Source organism: Homo sapiens, chromosome 5, assembly GCF_000001405.40.
Source record: "Homo sapiens chromosome 5, GRCh38.p14 Primary Assembly".
Taxonomy (NCBI): Eukaryota; Metazoa; Chordata; class Mammalia; order Primates; family Hominidae; genus Homo; species Homo sapiens.
In genome coordinates, this window is record NC_000005.10 from 59,554,851 (window position 1) to 59,578,303 (window position 23,453).

Sequence of the window (23,453 nt, forward strand, 5' to 3'; positions counted from 1 at the left end):
GTTAATAATCATCTGAAGAAATGTGCTTCCATTCTAAACTTCCAAGGGGGTTGGGGGTGTAAGAAGACTAAATATTGTGGAAAGCAGCTTGGTGACATCTGAAAAGGCTAAAAACAGAACTACCATTCAACTCAGCAGTCCCATTCCTGGGTATATACCCAAAGGAATATAAATAATTCTACCATAAAGGCACATGCACACATATGTTCGTTGTAGCACTATTCACCATAGCAAAGACATGGAATCAACCTAAATGCCCATCAATGGCAGATTGGATAAAGAAAATGTGGTACAGGTACATAATGGAATGCTATACAGTCATACAAAAATGCAATCATGTCCTCTGCAAAACGTGGATGGAGCTAGAGGCATTATCCTTAGCAAACTAACGCAGGAACACAAAACCAAATACTGTATGCTCTCACTTGTAAGTGGGAGCTAAATAATGAAAATACATGGACACAAAGAGGATCAGCATACTGGGGCCTACCAGAGGGTGGAGGGTGGTATGAGGGAGACAACCAGAGAAAATAACTATTGGGTAGTAGGCTTAGTTCCTGGGTGATGAAATAATCTGTACAACAAACCCCCATGACAGGAGCTTACCTATATTAAAAAAAATCTCCATATGTACCCCTGAACCTAAAATAAAAGTTTTGTTTTTTAAAATAAGATGAAATGCATAGGGCAAAGGTAAATCTGTTTGTGGAAAAACAGCAAAAGGAAGCACTGTTTCCTGGCAATAAGTATAACTCTTTTCTTAAGGTCTGCCCTTCTCCTTACCCCGATCTCCAACTTGTTGGAAAGCTAAGATTATTGACCTTCTGTGAACTCTGTATCTAGTTAACTTCTTTCATTCAACCCTTTAGGGACTCAAGCAAACAGCATCACTGACACCATTGACAGTTTGGGATTCCAAGGTGGCTATGCAAATTAATCCCTGTCTCTTGCTCCACTCCTACCCTCATCACTAATCCTCACTTCTCCTACAAAAGGACATTGTTATGAAGCATCCTCGCCTTGTTTTCAGCTTGTGTGTTTTTGAGCCAGAGCTTCATTAGAATATGACCATCTGTGCTCCCTGGGACCTTGGTCACCTCAATTTATTTGCTGGAAGATGTGGAATGATCCTATTTCACGTGAATATCTAGCTCAGTTTCCTCTATTTCTCTAAATGTATCTCAATGTCTTTTGTGCTTTCTGGAAGGTATTAGAGTTTATGGACCTTGCTCTTGGTTAACATTAAAAAATAAGCTTTCTACATAATATAGTGTAAAAAAGCTATGTCATTTCTTCACTTTTCTGACTACTAAGTTCTCTTGAGAGGCAGTGAGTGTCACACTGCACTACTAGTGGCCTGCACATCTGAGACAGAGTATCTCTTACACACTTGTGAATTAATTCCTAACTTCTGTATAATATTCTATTTACATTTTTTATTCAAATTCTCTCTCATTCTCTGTACATTTCTTTAGCACACACTAGATGTCTGCTGTGCCAGGTGACTCTCACTTATTCAGCACAGCAACCCTAAGAGACACACACATTTAGTACTGAAATATTAGAGTGGAGAGAACAATGGTGAGGCAATGAGGTTACATGGTCACATTCTTACCTTGGGAATTCTGCTTTGCTGTGAAGCAGTGGGTAAAGACATTGACTATTACAGCACTCACTGTTTATCCAAACAGTATCCCAGGGGAGAATACATTTCAGGGTTCTGTACGAGGAAAACTTAGTCTTTCCTGAGAAATGGATGTTGTGTTCTTCTCGTCTAGCATTTCTTTTGTTTTCCTGCTAAGTTTGGCCACCACGTAACTATGAGATGGGTTTCTGGGCTCCTTCAGAGGAAGCACTATGACTCTTATTATTGAAATATTCACTTTCTCTTCACCCAATTTTCTCTTTTTAACATTCTGAATTAAAAAAAAATTATTGACTTTGTACTTTTTGTAACTTACTGCAAATCCTTTTCTAAATAGGCAGGGCATGAATAAAGAAAGGATGGAAGGATGGAAGGGAGGAAGGGAAGGACAAAGGAAGAAAGGGAGGGTGGCAGGGAGAAAACAAAAACAAGTAGGCAAATACATAAAATGACTTACCTTTTGTAATTTTAAATTATTCAAGTTTGTTTTCTAATAAATATAACCTTAATGAAATGCCATCTCTAAAAATCCTTTATACAAAGCTTTTCAAATAATAAAAGGAATACGAGTAAAATGATGAAATAAATAAACTTTTTGCAGCCAAGAAGTCTATGATCTAACGTTTCTTGTTCACTATCTCTCAAGGTTCCCCAAGAGTAAACATATGCCATAAGGATTTTTGCTAAATCTAGTCTTAAAATAGGAACTATTCTAAAATTAAACTTCTACTTTTATCCATAAGGCCATTTATATCATTTTAAGCAATGTTGTAACAACTATTGGAAATACCACATGGTCTGGTTTTACATAAATTTGCAATGTATATTATCCTCCATCACCCCCTACATTGGTATAGAAGCTTGTTCCAATGGTATCACATAGTGAGTTTTATTTTCTGGCCAGGTTGGCATTTTGAGATCTAGAATCTTTATATGCCACCCCTGCCGCCATTGCCGACTGGCTGTGTGCCTAAAAGCCAGAGACACTGGGCAGGGTTAAAGATTGTGGCCAGGTTTTTTTTTTTCCACTTTGTCAAATGTAAAAATACAATGATGGTTTGTAGAGTATACTTCAGAAATAATTTAGTCAGTAGGTTTATGTCTACCAATATATATCCTATGAGTTAATATAAGCAGTTCACACTAACAACTGTAGGTGATGTATCCTTCTTTTAGTTGCTGATACTGTGAGAGAATAAGGCATTTTATTTAATTAAAGAATGAGCTAAAATAGCAATGTGGAAATACAGAAAATAAATACTGAAACCACACAATGCTAAACATGAATCAGCATTCCTATATTTGTAAGTGAAGTCACCTAAAGGGAAGAAAGTATAAACAGAAAAGGCAATAACTGCATCAGGGAAAATGAGAACCTATGGAAGGAAAAAGACCAGCAGTACCTGGATTCAGCTTTTCTGGTTGGAAAGGTCTAGAGACATTAAAATCACACCTGTTTATAAAATTATGTATATTTAATATTGGAATATTATTGGTGGCTCTAGAGGGCATACACCTGGTTGTACAGGAACCGTAAGGTTTAACAATACTACTAAAAAAGGAATGTTTATAGATTTAGATTTATTGCAAACCATGCTTTCATTTTTTCTTCCTATAAATCTTTCCTGAGCATCTACTATATATTAAGTGCTACTGTAGCTATGGAGATACAACAAGACAATAAATATGAACTTTTGTTGGAGTTCACATTCCAGTCGAAGGGATATGAATATTAAACAAAATAAATAGGTAAATTAGAAGGTATATCAGAAAATGACAAGGACAATAGAGAAAACTTTAGCAGGGGAGTCTGGGAGTGGGGTTAGGGATTAAAACTGCAGTTCTCAATCTAATGGATAGAAAATGTTACATTGAAGTAGCTTTGGGGTGAAGCCTTGAAGGAAGTGAGCCACGCAGATAACTGGGTAAAAGCATATCATTCTCTTGTTTAGATATAAATGTGCTGAGAAAAAAAAAGTATTTTCTATATATAAGACTATTCCTCTGAAGCAGTAGCATGCAGATGACTGGGAATTGTAGAAGAGGTGTCAATGCCAACAATTTGAAGAAAAATAACATATTTTAATGTTGAAACAAATAGAGAAAAGTAAGGGATTGAAGAGATATTTTAAAGAGAAAACTGAAGGTGTTAAAAATGTGCATCTGATACCATAAATCCAGGCTACTCTTCCAGACACCAGGCTCACATGTTCAATTTCTTCTGGCATGAAAAATTCCAGTGGAAAAAGTCAAAGAAGCTCTTATCTCTTCGCTGAAGCAGTCATGCTAGGGTAACAGCTGAATTCAGGAAAACTTAAGGAAACTAACTTTCACTGCACTCATACTATATGTAAAACATCATACACATAATATGAATGTCCAATTTTAGAAGTATTTAAAAAACATGGATTTTATATAGCTCTAAGCCACATGAGGTGTGTATGAGGTTGGGGGTAGTGAAGCTCAAAATTGTAAGCTAGACACTTCTTGAAAAAAAAACTAAATGCAGCCTTCACTAATGGCAATAGGTAGAAAGAGAAAGAGCATGAGCCAGAAATACTCATATTTAAATCAAATTATGGCTCTGTGCTCTGTGGTCATGAGGAAACTGCTTAATATCATTTACTTCATTTATTAAATGAGTCTATTAGCAACAACACATGTCAAATTCCTAACATGGTACCTGTCCATCCTTCACCTTATGAGATTATTAAATTATTAAATTTTGCCTTTTGAGCAAAAATATTGATTTATTGAAAATACGGCCTAAAATATATGCCAATTATGCTACTTACTATAATAGTTTAACATACAACAGCTTGAAAATAGTATAATTCTTTCTTCACATGAGCCATGTTATGATTTCCAGTAATTTGGGACCCACTGGTATGTGGGATTCATTACAATGTTCTTCAAAATTATTTCATTTATTACATGGACTTTGTTTAAGGAAACGAACAGAAAAAAATTAAATGTTTGTTTTGGAGAAGTTTCATGCTGTTAACTTCAAAGCCCCTAAGCCTCCAGTGGCCCTCTTGGATATAAGCCACAGATATGAGCGTGAATGACGCTGGTTGTTCTACATGAAACTTCCTGATGTGAAAACTTTTCACCTATAACCTCAAAAGTCAGCTATAGCTAATAGCTCATGAGTATGTTTCCACAATACTGAACATTTTGATAAAATACACTTTAAAGACTTCCTGATTAGAAAAGATTAAAAAAAAATGTTTTCCTAGGATTATACTGGAAATTTTGAGAAGCTTCTTACAGCACTCAAAAAGAGTTCTTGTGTATTTGTTGTTGTCTGGAACGACATCATCAAGGATCAATCACATTCTTTAAGGGCTAAGTACGTTCACAAAATTTCCATTTTTCTCTCCAAAGCACATGGAAATAATTTACATATAAATGAAGAAACATGCCACCCTTTAAAAATACCAGTTTCTTGACATATAGTCCAATGGATTGCTACAATTTCAAGTCTTTAATAGATTCAAGTTGAAAGGAATGGCATGTCATTTGAAAGCGTTTCCAAAGCACAAGGGCAGCCTTGTTTTGCAATGTTTCTGAAATATTTGGTTTAGGACATGGCACCAGAGGGCTTGGCAGTGAATACTCCGAAGAAATGTAAAGTTTAATCAATCCATGAAAATCAGTCCCAGATGTGGCTTACGAGTGACACCATGTTTTTAAACATAATCTGGCATAAAAAGTTCAAAGGTAATAGATATCAGAAATATATTCCTAGTGATAAAACTGTAGGTAAAGTTTATTTAAACCTTTATTATGAACCCACTACACGCATTATCTGTTTTATGTCTTATAGCATGTAAAAAGGTGAGAAAAACATACTGTCCTGAATATGCTACCAATCAGGTAGATGAAAGCACAAAAAAAACCCATTCATTCATTCACTCACTCATTCATTCAACAAGTATGTATTGAACTCCAATTCAGGGTTAGATACTCTTTTGGCACCATGACTGTGAGATCTGGTTCTTGTTCTCCGCTATCTCTGCGACTTTTCATCTTTAGTGGGGAGAAAAGACAGGTAAACAGTTGATTAAAACCTAGTAAGAATTAGGTTCAAGTTTTCACAGGATGTGGTGAAGCTCAGAGGAGAGAGCAGAGCACTGGTCCAGTTCTCAGGTCTGGGGCCTGGAGGAGAATTGCCAAGGGAGATAGAGATTGAGCATAGTCAGGGAAGGGTAATCCCAGCAGATAAAGCAAACTGTGTAAATACGGGGAAAAGCTAGCAGGAAACAGGCAACAATAAATTCATTGTTTCTGGAGACAGTCTTAATGGGACATGGCAAACAGAGAGAGGATACTAGTGAGAGAGCCAGGTGCTGCGTTCCTGATGGCCAAAAGGTCTTGTTGGAGAGTTTGTATTTTATCTTCAGGGATCTGGAAAGCCTTGAAAGATTTCAATCAAAAAGATATTTAAAAACATGACAGAGTAAGAGAACACTAAGTTCCTCACTTAAAAGTTATGGCAGACATTTCAAAACTGTTCACCAATTTCCAGTTTTCTTCTTCCAACCCCACAGGAAAATTGTACTTCCCTGCCTCTTTGAGGTTAACAAAGTTGCATTGCTTTGGAAAATGAAATATGATCCACTTTTCGGGGTGGAAGCATTTAATTGTGACTTCTGGAATCTCTAACCCTTTCTTCTGTCATGGTGAAGGTAGACACCTGTGGTTTATATGGCGGCATTGCTTTTGGCAATCACATGGAGACTGCTGGCCTGCGGGGTTCTCAGATCCACAGTGGGGTCGTCCGTTATTGGAGTATTATTTTGCCTACCATGACTAGTACACGTATTCAAGTAATGGAGATATTCTTATAATTAACAAGCTACTAGCTCTGATTTGTAATTTGCTCAATTAGACAAAGTTAAGTGTGTTCCTTGTTAAAAGTATTCACCTGTCTAAAGTTTCTTGTCTTAGTAAAGCAAGTCACCGCTTCCAGATTTTGGAAGTGGTAATTAACAGCGTTTTGCTTATGGATTTACTTATAATTAGTTTTTGTTTTTGGAAATTTGAAAAATGCAAAGTTTAAAGAAGAGGGTGTACATTTATTCTAATTACTTTTAGAAAGAAGTAGTACATCAGTAATATGGTCTCAGTGTTAAAATATTTTAAAAGGGACCAGGCATGGTGGCTCACGCCTGTAATTCCAGCACTTTGGGCAGCCGAGGCAGGCAGATCACCTGTGGTCAGGAGTTTGAGACCAGCCTGACCAACATGGCAAAAACCCGTCTCTACTAAAAATTCAAAAAAATTAGCCAGGCATGGTGGCATATGCCTGTAATCCCAGCTATTTGGGAGGCTGAGGCCGGAGAATTGCTTGAACCCGGGAGGCAGATGTTGCAGTGAGCTGAGATCGCACCACTGCACTCCAGCCTGGGCAACAAGAGTGAAACGCTGTCAAAAAAAAAAAAAAAAATTAAATAAAATGTAGATTAACTCCTGAAAGTGAATACTGTACATGTTTGCATGCATTTTATTCTTTGTACCTTGTGACTGCTGGCTACTTACTGCCTTCCTCCTGATACCAGTTTTTCTCTACTGCATATGTCAATAAATGTTTAGAAATGCTTGAAGAATACAGAGAAAGCCCAAAGTGTTTTTTGTTTTGTTTTGTTTTGTTTTGTTTTTTTCAGAAATGCATCTAAGTGTCTCCTTACAAAATGAGAGAATTCATTGATTAGCCATTCTTTGGACATGCTCTTAAACGTCCTCTACCAGAAGGAATTTCATATTCCTATCACAAAAGGGAAATTGCTTATTCTTATGTTTATAACACCAGATCTTTTATTTGATATATACTATGTGTATATATTATACAAATAAGCTCTTTATAAAAGATAACCATGAAGGAATTATTTCCTGAAACGGCAAAATATAAATTTGCCTGTAAAATCAGAATGCCCTAGCCAATCTTTTGAGATTTGACCAGGATGATCCTGTGGGTAAGGAAACTAACCCTTTCAAATTGCATGAAAATTAGAAGACAAATGAAGATGTTGTGAATGGAAATTCATTTCCAAATAAACCACTGGGATAAAAATCATTAGAATAATGCTAGTTTCAAAATCTATGTTTTTCCGTCTCTTTGTCACTCACAATTATTTCAAATATGTTCACTTTAAAGTACAGTATATATACCTAGTTAGGTTGAGTCATGTTTTAGAAAAATTCCTTAGAGTTTGTTTTTAAGCAAAACAGGACTGTTTTAAACAAAGCAGAACCTTAACAGGAAACTGATAACAGTGGCCAAGAAAAGCATCTTATTTTCTATTTTCTGTGTATTAGAAAGAAACCCTATTTCTCACTTCCTCATATGGTAATTATATCTCGGTGGAATTGAATCCTCAGGACAACAGGGCATGTTATTGTGAGATATTTTACACCTGGCTTAACCATTCTGTAAAATCAGAGATAGTGACTAGCCCAGAGGCTCTGTCTCACTTCCTTCCGGTGTTGCTTAGCTATTGATAAATATTAAGGTGCATGTGATTTGGCTGCTAAAATGAAGAAAGGATGTCAGAAGGCTATCAGTTTGCTGAATCAAACAGCATTGCCACAGGGCTCCAAGCTGGCAGGGCCCCTCTGGGCATTGCCAGGTCACCAAGGAAGTGGCTGGGTGAGGTGGCAACAGGTGTCAGACATGCTGCTGAGCAGATGATCTCAGCAGGCCTGAGGACAGAAGAGAAGGTTACCACACAAAGTGCTTAGCTGTGACCGCAGAGGAATTTCAGCATCAAAGGAATTTGAGTAGAAAAAGGTTTCAAATTTCAGTTAACCCAGGGTTGAAGCAGCAGGACTCATTGATAGAAAGAGAGAAGCAAATAAAAGCCCACACTAGTTAACATAACTCTCAAATAAGAATGCAATTATCTGCAGCCACAGTAGCCCATGGAAAGATATCCCTAACCAGTCATTCAGTTGAGACATAGGGACATCACCTGGGTGGAAAGGACCCTTACAGGTTGTGAAGGAATTATAAGTGACCATTAGTGAGTGGTCACTATGTACCAGACACAGCTGTAAGTGCTTTATGGCCATTAATTCATTCCATCTTCACAACAACACTCTGAGGTAAGTATTCATATTTGCCTTATTGTACAGAGGTAGAAATGGAATCATAAAAAAGTGAAGACATCAGCCCTAGCTGATACAGCAAGTACAGAGGAGAGCCAGAATATAAACCTAAGAAGTCTGTCTGTATAAACCATGCTCTTAGCCACCAAGTTTCACCATCCCTCACAGGGAGAAAACTGCAGAGCAGAAAAGTTCTGGTCTTACTCCTAAGAAGAGATGCACATTACATACATGAAAAGATACCAAACATGACAACATAGAAAATGATGGATGCCAAGTGAGTGCCAGGAACTATAGAGCTGTTGAAAGAGATTCATTGCAAAACAGGTTGGAATAAGCAAGACAAACTTGAGAAGTGGATTCTCACATTGAGTGTGAACAAGCAGGGGCAGTGTGATGTGGAGGAAGGGAGCATGTACTCTACAGGCTTTAGCTTCAGAGGGGCTTGGGTTCAAATCCCAGCTCTGCCACTTACAAGTCATGTGAGCTTGGGGAAGTTACTTATTCTTTGTTTTCTAGTTTTCCTATCTGCAGGGATAGAAAAATGCTATTTCAAAACACTATTCATGAAGATCAAGCAAAATTAGTTATAAGCAGGTCTCAGCATACTTGGTACAAGGTACACATTTAATATGTGTACTATTATCCAACTAGGGAGAGATAGAAAGGGAGCTTCAGGTGAGAGGAACAGCATAAAAAATGATCCGCAAAAGCCAGAAATAAAACTTCTATGAGCTCAGTTCAAGCTGACTGGGTAGGTAAATGTCTGCCATGAACTTGGAAGTGAGAGAGAATCTCCCTTGGACACTCATTAAGGGGCCTCAAAGCCATGAAGAGTTGCCATGTGGTCCTTCCAGTCAATAAATAATTTTGTCCAAACACGAGTGGAAGAAAAAATTAAGAGACACCCGGATGGGGAAAACCCATTCTCTTTTTGGTGAGACAATCTAGCCAGAAGGACACTCTCGCCAGCTAGAGCTCTGCATATCCAAACAAGCACAGGTAAAGTGGAAGAACTGACCAGAAGAGGAGAAAACATGAATTAATTAATTAATCAAAGAAACACCTGTAAGGTTCCAAGTAGGTGGCAGGTAGGCTGAGTGTTAGTGTATCCAGTCAGGCAGGTGGTGATGACAAAGGGCCCCCAGGAAACTCCCATTTGTGTGAGTGAGAAAGGCAAGAAAACAGCATGCACAATGCTACTTGAGGAGCGATGTTTGAAAAAGTGATGCACAGGTTGCAGGGGATGCACAGAAACTAGGGATGCAGCACTGGAGTGGGGTGAGAAGCTTCCAAGAAGAGACAAGCCTTCTGATGGGTCTCAAAGGAAGAGGAGGGTCTCACCAGGCAAAGGGGTTGGGGGACACATTCTAGTCAGAAGGAACACCATGGACAAAGGTTGATGAATGAAGCAGAATGATATCTTTAAGAAGCTGCAAAACACTTTCCACCAGGAGGGTGCAGCTGGGGTGTGGCACATGAGGTTGTGAAATCAGGTCCTAAAGAGGCTGGAAGAATGTGTAGGAAGGAGATGGGCTCCGCTTGGCTCTTAGGTCTCTGCAGAAGGAAAGAGAAGGAGAATGGGACAGGTGGTGAGACTGGAGGCCTGTACACTATTTAGAAAGTTACTGGGCCAGGCACAGTGGATAATGCCTATAATCCCAACATTTTGGGAGGCTGAACCAGGAGGATCGCTTGAGCCCGGGAGATCAAAACCAACTTGGGCAACATGGAAAAACCCTATATTTACAAAAAAATAAAAAATGAGCCAGGCATGTTGGTTTGCACCTGTAGTCCCACCTACTTGAGAGGCTGAAGTGGGAGGATGCCTTGAGCTCAGGAGGTTAAGGCTACAGTGAGCCATAACTGCACCACTGTACTCCAGTCTGGATGACTGAGTAAAACCCTGTCTACAAAAATGCTCTAAAACAACAACCAAAAAAACCCAGAAAGTTACTGCATGGAGCCCAGAGGAGAAATAGTTGCAGCATCACTGGGAGGTGTGGGTAGTGGGGTGAAAAGGCTATGGCGTAAGCCTGGTGAGGAAAGGCAAAGCACCTGATGCTCCTTGGCTTCAAGTACAGATGGCAAAGCAACTGGGCAAGGAAGTCCCTGGACAGATGCTCAGGATGATTACAGCTTCAGAATGCTGAAGTGCAGCTGTGCCTATGTTTTCTTCCTCCTGTCCTCTGCCACACTGTCCTTCGTCACCCTCTGGGGCACCTCCCCTCATATGAGAATTGAGAAATGGAGGGAGAGTACATGAGTAGTGGGGAGACACCAAGACAGCAGAGCATAGTGAAGAGAGGAGGAGAGGGGAAGCAAAACTTAAAAGAGACTCAATGAAACTGGGAGTGCTTTTGCTAATGCCACTAGGAAAAAGAAATGTGAAAATAAAATTTTATATATAAATACAAACACATGCATATGAGTGGGTGGGTTAAACTACTATACCACCTCTTAGCCAGAATGATCTTTTCTAATTAGATTAGGAAATGAAAGTGTTAGAAGACTGAATGGGTAACATTTGAATTTTCCTTTTGAAAGATGGGCCATATTTTGACTTTAGAGGAAACACAGATGGGAAGTGCATTCTTGATCTTGGAAATGTTGTGATGATCCATCACTGTCAGGGTGAAGTAAGGATCTTTAGCATGGCCACCAGAGCCTTATCTCCCACCTCTGTGCCTGCCTCCACCCTGGCTCTTCTGCTGCCTTTATATTAAACATTTGTTCATTCACCACATAAGGTTCTCTCTCTTGCCTTCTTTTCCTGGTTAATTCTTACTGATCCTGCAAATCACAGCCTGAACTACTCATCCTCAGAGAAGACATTCCTGATTTTCCCTGAACAGATAAAAAAACCCTTCACAGATTTTTGAACCCTGTGTGTCTTTCTCCCGTAGCATCTGATCCAGTCACAGTTTCATGTGTGTGTGTGTGTGTGTGTGTGTGTGTGTGTGTGTGTGTGTGTGTGTGAGAGAATGAGAGAGAGAGAGAAAGAGAATTTGATTAATGCATGTCTTCCCCAGTTAATCATAAACTCCATAGGGGCAAGAACCATGTCTGATTTGGCATCTACGAATGAGTGATGAATGCAAATAATGTTTGGCTATGGGGGGATGAGGTGTGGCCATGTAGGAAGATGATGTCAGGGTGTGGTACAAGGTTAAGGAAGCTGCAGCTAAAAAGGATGCCAACTTAATCTATTTTGGCCATTTTGTCTACCCTAAGTATTATGTTCACACTGTATTTCTTCTTTCTGGACTAAGAAAAAAAAAACATGTTTGCTTGTGGGGTCTTTTTTTCCTTCTAAAATATTAGACTGCAAACAAAGGCACTGTTGGGTAGTATATTTTTGTTAGCACCCAAGGGGAAATGACTGTGTTCTTGGGCTCTCCAATTTTTACATTACATGTTTTCTACATGAGCTTTCAACCTAATGTAAGAATTAAATGCAAATTTGAGGCATATGAACTATTTTATGCAAGATCTTAAAATTGTTTTCCTTGGGACGTTCATTGAAAGTATGGCTCATTACTGAAAATCTATTCTTCAGTGTGTTCCTAACCATCTAGCCACGTCAAAAAAAGTTGCTTTAATATCTGAAGCCAAATCGCTGCTTTCCTTTGTGATTACAAGGACTCTCTTGGTAAATCAGAGTATGGCCAATGTCCAGTTGCTAAAGGTGGAAACTACAAGTTACTATTCTCCTTAAGTTACCAGCAAGATACAGTCAACATGTAGTTCTTTGGTGTCTGTCAAGAAAGTACAGAGATTTATAGGTAAAGAAGTCAATTTTCTTATCATAGATATAGTTGTCATATGGAGAGTATGCTGATTAGAAATAATGAAAGCAAGAGATAAACTTAAATTGTGGAATTATCTGAGAATTTCCATTATCCATGTCCCAAGTTAACTGCAAACAATATAAAGTTGACTATATCAATTTTTATGTACAGAAAAACATTTGGGACACAAATACATTTTAAAATCTTAAGAGTTTGCAGGGTAAAAAACATTTTGGGGGAAAAATAATTTTTCTAAGGGTTTGAGAAAAATTCAGCTTATATTTATGTATTTCAACTTCAGTAAGGATAAATGGAACAGCACCACTGGAATTGAACAATTAAGTAAGCAAATGATGGATGGTAGTTTTTCACTGTTGGAGTGGAAGATTATAGATAAGCAAGAGGAAGAAGCTAGAATGACCCATGTGGTAATGAGTTAGATTTGAAAATATCAGTATGAACTAATGCTTATCTATCTATCATCTATCTATTTATGCTTCCTGATTGTTAGATATGTGTACATACACAGGTTGGTATACACAAATATATGTCCTTGCTCTGTCAGCCAAGAAGGCCAAAAGGAAATGACAACCCAAAAACAATGAACACACCTATTGCTCAAATCTTGGTTTTTAATACCATTTTCCAATGAAAGGAACGTGTGCTCCTTGGAGAAATGGCTGAATCTATGATGAGGAAGGAGTTATATTGTTGATAAGCCTCAAGTATTGTGTAATGCTAGAAAGGATGAAAGTGCATCAAAACAAAACAAACAAAAAACAGAAAACAAAACCACCACAATTGTGGGGATGTATCAAAGGGACACAAGAAATAGTACCCAATGGCCAAAGCTGGAACAATTTCACAGCACGATTAGTATGACAGTAGTGGATTATAACCTAAGCATAAAATAAATATCCATGAGTCCATACTGATATACATAAATGCTGAATAATTAAATGAGGGAGAATAAGCAAATCTTCTGTGGAGAAGAATTGCAAATATTTTATGTAGATTCTCTGCCTTCAAGGAGATGGAGTATAACACCCTCTTAAGTGTGGGTTGTTTATCATGACTTCCTTCCAAAGGGTAGGTATGAAAATAATAAAAATAAGGAAAAATAATACATTTATAGTGGAAAAACCTGACCAAATCCACCTCGATCAGGTGATCAAGGTTAACATCTTTAGTCATGTTGACAGTGTGATGGAAAAATGGCACATTACCCTCTGTGGTCTCTCTCCCCAAAACACTAACTACAGTCTAATCATGAAAAATCAATCAGAAAATTCCAACTGAGAGACATTCTACAAAATACCTAATCAGTACTCCTCAAAACTGCCAAGGTAATGAAAAACAAGGAAAATCTGAGAAAATTCTATAGCAAAGATAAATGAAACACGAGAACTAAATGCAATGTGGTATCCTGAGTGGGGCCCTGGAATAGAAAAAAAGAACCTTAGGTAAAACTAAGGATATATGAATGAATAGGGACTTTAAATAATAATAATGTACCAATACTGGTTCATTCATTGTAACAAAAGTATCATACTCATATAAGACTTTAATAAAAGGCAGTGGGTGAGGGGTATATGGAAACTCCCTGCACTATCTTTGCCATTTTTCTGCAAATCTAAAGCTGTTTTAAAATAAAATTTATCTTTACAAAGCCCTGAAAGCCTAGAAATTTAAAGTAAACTCGTACAATCAAATAGTAAGGCCTAATCTTACTGACATAAGCCAATATTTAATTTTCTAACCCAAAATACAAACTCTTCTTCACATGTTAACCTCTATCTCCATTTTCTATGTCTACATTTCTTTAGAAGACCATAAATCACGCTATATTATCATTAATTAGAGCCAAGTTAAAATGTTAAAATTGCTAAACATATGACTCATTTAAACAAAGGTTTACTAAAAGACAGGAAACAATTTACAGGAGGTATGCATTTTCTGCATGGTTGCATCTTTCAAGAAGACAAAGAAAGGGATTAAGAATACCTTTGTCCTAAGATACAAAAAAACCACAAGGCAAAAAGTACGACATATAAAGTTTTACACCAAACAAAAAAGAGAAAAATTTCAGCAAATCAATGTTATCATCTACTTATGATTTTTTATCATTGCAAACAACGCATGTTTGTCCATCCTTACTTCGCCACCTGGACCAATGCAGGCCATGTCATATGAAATGCCTGTTCTGACCATTAGAACATCCAGACTCATTCTGGGGCTTAATCTCTTTTACTGCAGGTGCATCCACTTGTTATATTTCAGATTAGCAGCCTCAAAGAACTAGCCTCTTCCCAGTACCCATCCTTCAATTACTGCATCATTTTCTCTAACAATTGCAGTCTTTCAACCACTTTATATGTGACAAGGCATGAGCTTGCTTCCTCTCTTGTCACTCTCCTGAGTCCTCTTCTGTTTGTCTGCAGCCCAAAAGGAAGCACAATATTCCAGCTGAGGTCTGAATGATGCAGGGTCAAGTGCATTCATTACCTCTTTATTTTGGGTTATTCTGGTTCTATTAATACAGCTTAAGATGTTATGTGAAATTTCCAAAATAGGTTCCATATTTTACCTTCAAAACTGTATGGCAGACACAAATACTACATTATCTGTGATTACCGTGAATGAGGTTAGCACATTATTATGTGGTTGTGAATATCATACTTGGCTTCCTGGAGACCGAATATTCATGTATCAGGGCCCTCCTGTGATGACACAGTCAGTGGCGCCCTCACAAGGGCATACCTTCTAGCCTTGTCTTATTCTTTAAAAAAAACCCACATTCTTTCTTTGTTCTAGCTACACAGCTGGAAAATCAGAACTGAACATAATAGTGGGAAGAGAGTACTCTTTAATCTCAGTATTTAATCTCCTGATACTTTCTGGACCTCTGAAAGTATTAATACATGCATTCCCATGAGAAATATTATTGCTTCTCTAATAAATAAGGATGTCATACAAAATTAACAAATTAATAATTCAAGGACACATTCGGGTGCCAAAGAATACAGTTTTCTAATTTTTACAGGAAAATATGTAAAGTAATATAAAATTTTCACTTGTAAATAGTGCAAACTGTGTTAGAAAAAAAGACAATGCAGATGAGAGATTTCCTTGAAATGCTCTTAAAATCATGTTATTGATCCGTGTAAGTCAGCTATATCAATTCTACTGATCAAGAAATAGGTATTTTAAACACAATGCTTTCAGGAGTATACAATGTTGACAAATATGCAAAAAAAAAAAAATTGCAAAACTCCAAGAAAATCAAATAATGAATGCTAGCCAAATTTCTATCCGAACTAAGCTAACTCAATGATATTATCGTTGTCTTTAATGGAGAAACATGAATAAGGATAATCTTTAGTGGACTTAGATTAAGTAATACAATGAATAGCTATAAAATTTGTGGATCAGAATTAGAAGAGGGGAAAAACACATTAATCAAGTAGACATGTTAACAAAATAATGGATTAGTCAGGATTACATTTGAATAAATTAGCAAAGCAAAAGAAATACATTAAATATCTAATATTTAGTAACTTAGAAGAGAAAAAAATGCTGTGTATTTTACATACTAATTCATACACATGCCCAACAAATAACTACCGTTTCCAGTCTTCATGTGCACCATAACATGTGTAACATATGAAACAAAAATTTGCTCCTCCCTGATGTATATTGGTATGAAAATCTTTTAAGGTAACATGAGAATGAAAGAGATTCTTCTTCATGCTAGACATAGAGGTTTTTAAACACATCATTTGGCTGACGTAAAGCACATTTGCAATAGGCATTAGTAACCTCAAGTTAAGAACAATATATGCCAGGCTGATGTACTGGACACTTCCTAAATACTGTACTCAGCAGTTTTGGAGCACTTAGCAATGATGAATTGGTGTGAAGACTCAGGTACTGAAAGGTCATTTCCCTTTTTTTCTTGAATCTTTTGCTTGTCTTGATTGACGCTCTGAAGAAGCCAAGGATACAGAAGGGGTGGAGAAAGCACGCAACCCAAATTACCCAAAGGAGCTGCTTATAATGAACTTGAATGAAGATAGATTTTGGGGAGAGGTGGGGGAAAGTGGCCACAATCTTCAATATTCTTTTGAAGTGTTACTGCTTTCAAAGTTGTGATTTTTCTCAAGGTAAAGCTGTTTGACACAGATAGACTCATCTGTCAATCAAACATCTTTTACTCATGGCCAGGTCAAATACTTGACTATTCTAGTAGTGGTATCAAACTCTTAGTGCCAATATAAAACAGCCAACTCACCTAGCCAGGGAAAAGAAATAATAAGAAAATGAAAAAGTGCACTGAGCCTTTATATCCTGTATTCAAGAACTGCATTTCTTTTTTATTTAGTTGTTTTGTCATTGCTGTTTATCAGTTTTTGTTTTTGTTGTTTTGTTTTATGATCAAATAGTTTTAGGGGGATAATATATAATAGCCATGTCACACATTTCTGAAAGAACAACTTATTTCACCTGGCCCCATAAATGGAAATATTTCATAAATTCCAGAAGCTTTGGCATTCGTCTACATCCTCTTTCCAGACTGCTTGCTATTTCATAATCATTTTCATGATTCTCATTTTCCTTATGAATTGAATTTGTGCTTGAAACATTTCAAGCCTAGGGAAGCAATCTTGTGAGCTGACAGATCTTATTGGGAGCAACCTTGTTCAGAATTTTGACTTCCACTTCCACTCTTACACAACAAATGTCCACGTATAGACTCAACATTTGCCTCAAAAATTCAAGTCTCCTTAAGAATTACAAAAGGTTGTATCACCCTGTAAGACTGTTGCCATTACAGATGGCATAGGACTCAGGATTCTAAAATCTAGTGCTATAATGGGCTATAAGTTGGGTTAAAGAAGTGAGAATGCTGTGCTTTTAACTTCAAAATTTGGCAAGACATACCATTTTTTAATAAGAAACATATTTTTTATTTGGATTATCCTTTTCTTATACTATCTATTTTATTATACTTTCTTTAATAGTATTTAATCAGATTTTAATGAAATCTGGTACACAGGTTTTTTGTTTTGTTTTGTTTTGTTTTTGTTTTTGTTTTTGTTTTTGAGACGGAGTCTTGCTCTTTCGCCCAGGCCGGACTGCAGTGGCGCTATCTGGGCTCACTGCAAGCTCCGCCTCCCGGGTTCACGCCATTCTCCTGCCTCAGCATCCCGAGTAGCTGGGACTACAGGCGCCCGCCACCACGCCCAGCTAATTTTTTGTATTTTTAGTAGAGACGGGGCTTCACCATATTAGCCAAGATGGTCTCGATCTCCTGACCTCGTGATCCACCCGCCTCGGCCTCCCAAAGTGCTGGGATTACAGGCGTGAGCCACCACGCCCGGCCGCTTTCTTTTAATTATAAACTAACAATAGTATTTACAATTTTCAAAGAACTTTCAAATATACTACAATCTTCCACAGAAATCCATAGGGGAAAAAAGGGACAGGAGAGGAACTAAAATATATCAAACACACTAAGTTGAGCAGATACCATGATTTATATATGTATATCATTAATCTTTATGCACAACTTAGGACAAATTTCTTTCTGATCTTAGTATCATAAGTGGTGTGCTTCCCTGATCCATCAAATTGTTTATCCAATGGACACGGGGATTTGTGTTTAAGCTTCCTGATTTACCCTGGATCCTAGGAAGCTTAGTGAGAACTTTACATTCCATCTTGCATACCCTTGGACTTCATGGTCTGCTTAACTCTTGAAAGATGGAAGGCCCTCTGCCTCCCTTGAGATCTAAACAAAATTGATTTGAACTTCCTAATTTCATGACCAGTAAGAATCCCAAAACTCACCTCTAAATTTCTGATAATTTCCTAAAGGCTGGGCTCATTGACCTGCTTTGCCAACACAACACAGCTCATTTTGATTCACATGCCACCAACACCATCAAAATCACTTACTTCAGGTACTCCTGAGGCTTCAAGTAAGACATACATATATTAGTGGTCTTCCCACCCCTAGCAACTCCCTGTACCCTCCCCAATACCCCTCACCCACCGAACCACTGTCAGTACTGGGGAGGGATCTGTTTATGGAGTATACCCGCAGTTCTCAGCCTTCCCAGGGCGAATTTTCCTCATCCTGTCCTCTCTCCTAATTTCTCTGCCTCATCTCCATCATTCTCATTGGCTCTTTAGCACTAAATTCTTCTTCTGTTATGCAGAGAAGTTTTCACCCTTAGAGCACTTGAGCACCTACCTATAGTCAGATCCTCAGGGACTTTCTTCCTATCCCAAGGGCACGTTCAAAATAGCTCTTCTAGGCCAGCTGCAGTGACTCACTCCTGTAATCCTAGCACTTTGGGAGGCTGAGATGGGTGGATCACCTGGGGTCAGGAGTTCGAGACCAGCCAGGCCAACATGGTGAAACCCCATCTTTACTAAAAATACAAAAATTAGCTGGGTGTGGCAGCTTGCATGCGTAGTCCCAGCAACTCGGGAGGCTGAGCTAGGAGAACCGCTTGAAACTGGGAGGCAGAGGTTGCAGTGGGATGACATCACACCACTGCACTCCAGCCTGGACAACAAAGGGAGACTCTGTCTCAAAAAAAAATATATATATATATATATATATAAAAATATATATTTATATATATTTATATATAAAAATATATATATTTATATATATATTTATATATATAAATATATATTTATATATATATATAAATATATATTTATATATATATATATAAATATATATTTATATATATATATATATAAATATCTTCTAGCAAAGACATTTTTCTTCCTTCCCCAAGAGGATTCTGGTGCCGTTTGTAAAGGTAATATATATATATATATTTTTTAACTATTACATACATATGTGAGTAGGAACATCATACCTTATTTCTCTTTGCCCTTCATCAACATTCTCCCTATAAGTTATGCACATATAACTTTGTTGGTTGTCTTAAATGCTGCCTGGGAAAAGCTGCGGTTTAAAAATGACAAATTAAATAATGTATTATCTCATTGAATCCTTACAGTAAATCTGGGTGATTGGAACTGTTCTATTTTTCTCTTATAAATGAGTTAAGTGATGCTCATAAAAGGTGATTTGCTCAAAGTTAACCAGTCAGCATCAGAGTTGAATTTGAACTTGGTTCAATACAGCTTTAAAGCATGGGATCTTTCCCTTGCATTGTACTACTGGTTAAGAGAGAGAGGTATGAAACCCTCGAATGCTTTATCAAAATATACCTGTCACTTCCTCTTCCTACCCACTCTTCAACCTCCAGATTTTCATACTCCTTATTACTTTCCCCCCAACAAAGTCTTGCAGTTATTTCTGATAAATGATACAACTGCCTTCCCTAATGACATTCTCCAATCCTCACCATCTCCATCACACTGAGAACTATGGCTTTTTAAAACATTGAAGTTAATTTTTCAGGATGTTCTCTGACAAAACTACATATAATGATATAAAATAGTTATTGATACTCTTTCATAATAAAGTGAGAATAAAACCTCATTCTATACATATATAGTGTGATTATAACCACTATACTAAAGAATTGATATATTTAAAAACTCAAATATAGGATATGTATGCTAGAATAATGAGAGAAATTAATTAACACTGATAATATTAATAAAAATTATCATTTCTACAATGAGACTAGAAAGGAGGAGGCCAGATGAGGCAGAGCTTTATGCTGTATTACATATAATACAAAGCTAGTACATTTTCTTGGCAAGTGAAGAGATATTAGGGAGATGATTTTTAGAGCTTAGTTTGACAGTGAAAGATGTATAAAAAGAACGAAGAGCCACACGTAGAGGCTGGTCTATGTCTGAAGACCACATCATGTACTGTGATGAAAAGTAATTAAAATGAAACATCAATGTTATAGATGCAGAAAGGGGCATAATCAAGCATCAGAGCCAGCTGTGGAGATAATTTACAGACTTTTATCTCACCAGCAAGATAAAACATACATATCTTCAAGGAAAGAAAGATTCCTATATGAAAGTGAATGAGCTAGTTATTAGTTTTGAAGAAATGGTGTCTTAGATAAGGTGATTTGTAGCAATAGCATTTAGATTTTACAGATACACCCAGTTCGGCAGGATGGTTGCTTCTACAAATCCAGTTAAACTCTCCCAAGTGACAGAAATCAAGATATGTGGGAATTATTTATGCTCAAGATGACAATTTTTATAGAAACAGTATCTATCCCCCCAAAAACATGGGCTATATCCTAAAAACCTGAAATTAATATTAAAAGCCGTAAATTCCCAGGACACAATTCTGGAAAAGTAATGTTTACTCTAAAATCATTTTATTGAGCACCTACTATGTGTCAGGCACTGTGCTAAGAACAGAGAATCTAATGAAGCAGGGCCTGAGTAAGACAGTCATAAACAGAAAATCCATCCTGTATAAGGTAGGCACTGACTCAACATGGGAGGGCACATCAGTCGATTCTTGCTGAGGCTTGAGAGATGAGGAGGTATAAATTATCCCTCATAATTCAAACTTAACCCAAGGTATTGTCCCTGTATTTACTGAACAAGAATGTGATATAGAAGAGGCAGTTTAGACCTCCAAGCAACCTATAGTTAATGGGTAAGATCTAGGTTGGAAGTGGCCTGCCACTGATTACCCTAGGCAACCTGGTTAACCATTCACAGCTAGTTGCCTAATCTGTACTATAACAATATTTATTGGATACTTACTGAGTGACAGGTGTTCTAAGCACTAGACTGGTTTTCTCATTTAATCTTCACAGCAACCCTATGCAATGAGAACTATTTACTGTCCCTATGTTACAGATCATGGAGAGGTTAGATAAGTGACCCAAGGTTGCACCCTTAGTAAGTAGATAACAAGCCCTTGCCACAGACTTGGGGGATGATTAAGTAAAATGATGTCTATAAAAAAATTAGTCTATACTTGGAATGGATAACCTGTTAAATGTGATAGTTATTATCTGTATTATTTTTTATAGCATACGACCCTACCTTATCTCAAAACATAGCACAATAACATTATTTGAAAAATATAAAGTTATTTAATTAAAATTTCCCCTGACAATATAATTTTTATTTATCATTCTTTTCTGTACACATAATTATTTATTAAGAAAAAATTTAAAAAGTACCTATTAAGTACAACACCATGCTGGGTATTGTGGTATAAAGTAGAAAAAAGTAGTCGAGGTGGCTACTGCAATGAATAGAACAGATTATAATGTTAATACCTGGTCTCAAAGGCTAGCTTGGTCTCAGAAAGTTCTTTGAAGCAAAAGGTTGTGTGCAGTGAAGATCTCACAGAATGTGGTCACCCTTTCAAATGATGACATCCTGAGGCAACTTAGCATTCAACCTCTCTCAAAAATCAAATCTGGCACAGATTATTTTCTAAAAAATAGGACTTTTCCCACAAATATTTTCTTCTTTTAAAATTAACACACCCAAAGGTTTAAGACTCAAATGCCTTACTTTAGGACTTGTAAGAGGTCTCTTTCACTGATCTCAATACCACTACGGTTTTCTCAATTTGCCCACTGTCACATTGCTAGCTTTCCTTTCTTCTCTAGAACATCAAGGGACTCTCCATCATTACGCCAATTATTTGTTTTAAACATAGTGAGCAACCCAATGACAAGGTTCTTAAGATTGAGGACTTCATATCATGTTATTTCCTTAAATTAAATGGAGGATATATGAAAAAGGAAGGGCCTGAGACCTTTATCAAGAGAAGAGTTGGGAAGATATGAGAAATGTATAGGTTGCATATGGAATATGTTTTCTCAAATACTGTGGATATCAGCATTAACGGGCATAACGCTGCTGTCTTCCCCATGAAAAAGGCTGCCATTTAAAGTTAGGTTTTGTGGAGAAGGAATTAAGCAAAATACCCAAGGTAGACAGGCTAAGGATATTCCATAGGAGAGGCCAAATACTTGAGAAAAGCATCAGAGCTCAGTCCTGGAGGTGTTTGTTGATTTATGTGTGGTTTCTCTGCATTACCTTTAATGGAAGAACAATTATGCCTGAATAAGACAGAAATGAGTAAATTAACTAGGTAAGATATAAGATCATAGATTTTTATAGCACCTTAGTGATCAGTTAAGTCAACCTTCTCATTTTCATATTTAGAAAAGAAAAATATGGAGACTCAAGGGAGAGGAAGAATGAAGTTCCCTGACAAGTGACTAAGACTTTTAGAATCTTATTTAGAGTTTTAGAGCCACAGCAAAAATTCTACAAAGCAAGCTCTGTATAAAGTAGTGGTGAGCACTGAATGCTGACAATAATAGCGGAAGCTCTGCTGAGATGATTAGAAGAGATGAAAGGAATTCATAATATTGGCTAAAGTCACAGTATCCTCCAGGGTTTATTCTCATGACCTAGAAAATTATAAGGCTATTTAATAATATCCCTTAACTTACATATTTTATTTGTCATTTTCTCCTATTTATCTTGGAGACATAAAAGAGAATTTAAATGTATAAATATTTAAACTGGGTTACATCAGTTCTGGTTAAAGTCATATTATGTTTCCTTATTTCCAGTACATTTCTCAGAGACTGGTGACACTTTCAAGTAAGCTTCATAGCGGTTTTGAAGAAATTTTTGTAAAAGCAGGTTACATATATATGGATTTGTGACATTCTAACATAAACCACAGAAAGGTTCCTATTAAAAAGGGAGCAAAGCTGAATCATTTTGGCTTTTCTTCCCACTGTGATTTTTATTCATTTGAAGATAAAATTCAAAGCAAACATCTTAAAGCTTCTGTTTGTCACCCAAGAGTTATTTCAAGGCAGCACAGGAAATCTCACATTTTCAAAAAATCAGGTCATGAAAATGGAACTGCAATCTAATTAATATGTTCATAA

General features: G+C 37.1%; 1 protein-coding gene and 1 long non-coding RNA gene across 27 annotated transcripts in view, besides 1 other annotated feature; both read right to left on the reverse strand.

Annotated features, from left to right (window-relative positions):
* The window catches only part of PDE4D (phosphodiesterase 4D), a 1,553,091-nt gene that overhangs the window by 585,813 nt on the left and 943,825 nt on the right, over window positions 1-23,453 (reverse strand). The window lies entirely within an intron of this gene.
* On the reverse strand, window positions 3,707-18,950 carry LOC107986347 (uncharacterized). The gene is made up of 2 exons (XR_001742409.2): window positions 5,616-18,950; window positions 3,707-3,943 (listed from the first exon to the last, which is right to left on the reverse strand). It is a non-coding gene; the product is annotated as an uncharacterized LOC107986347 (long non-coding RNA).
* Window positions 8,048-8,698: an enhancer, noted in NCBI's record as "OCT4-NANOG hESC enhancer chr5:58858724-58859374 (GRCh37/hg19 assembly coordinates)". NCBI's record gives its function as "activates a minimal SCP1, AML or CMV promoter by ChIP-STARR-seq in primed H9 embryonic stem cells {active_cell/tissue: H9 hESC(primed)}" and the evidence as "EXISTENCE:reporter gene assay evidence [ECO:0000049][PMID:30033119]".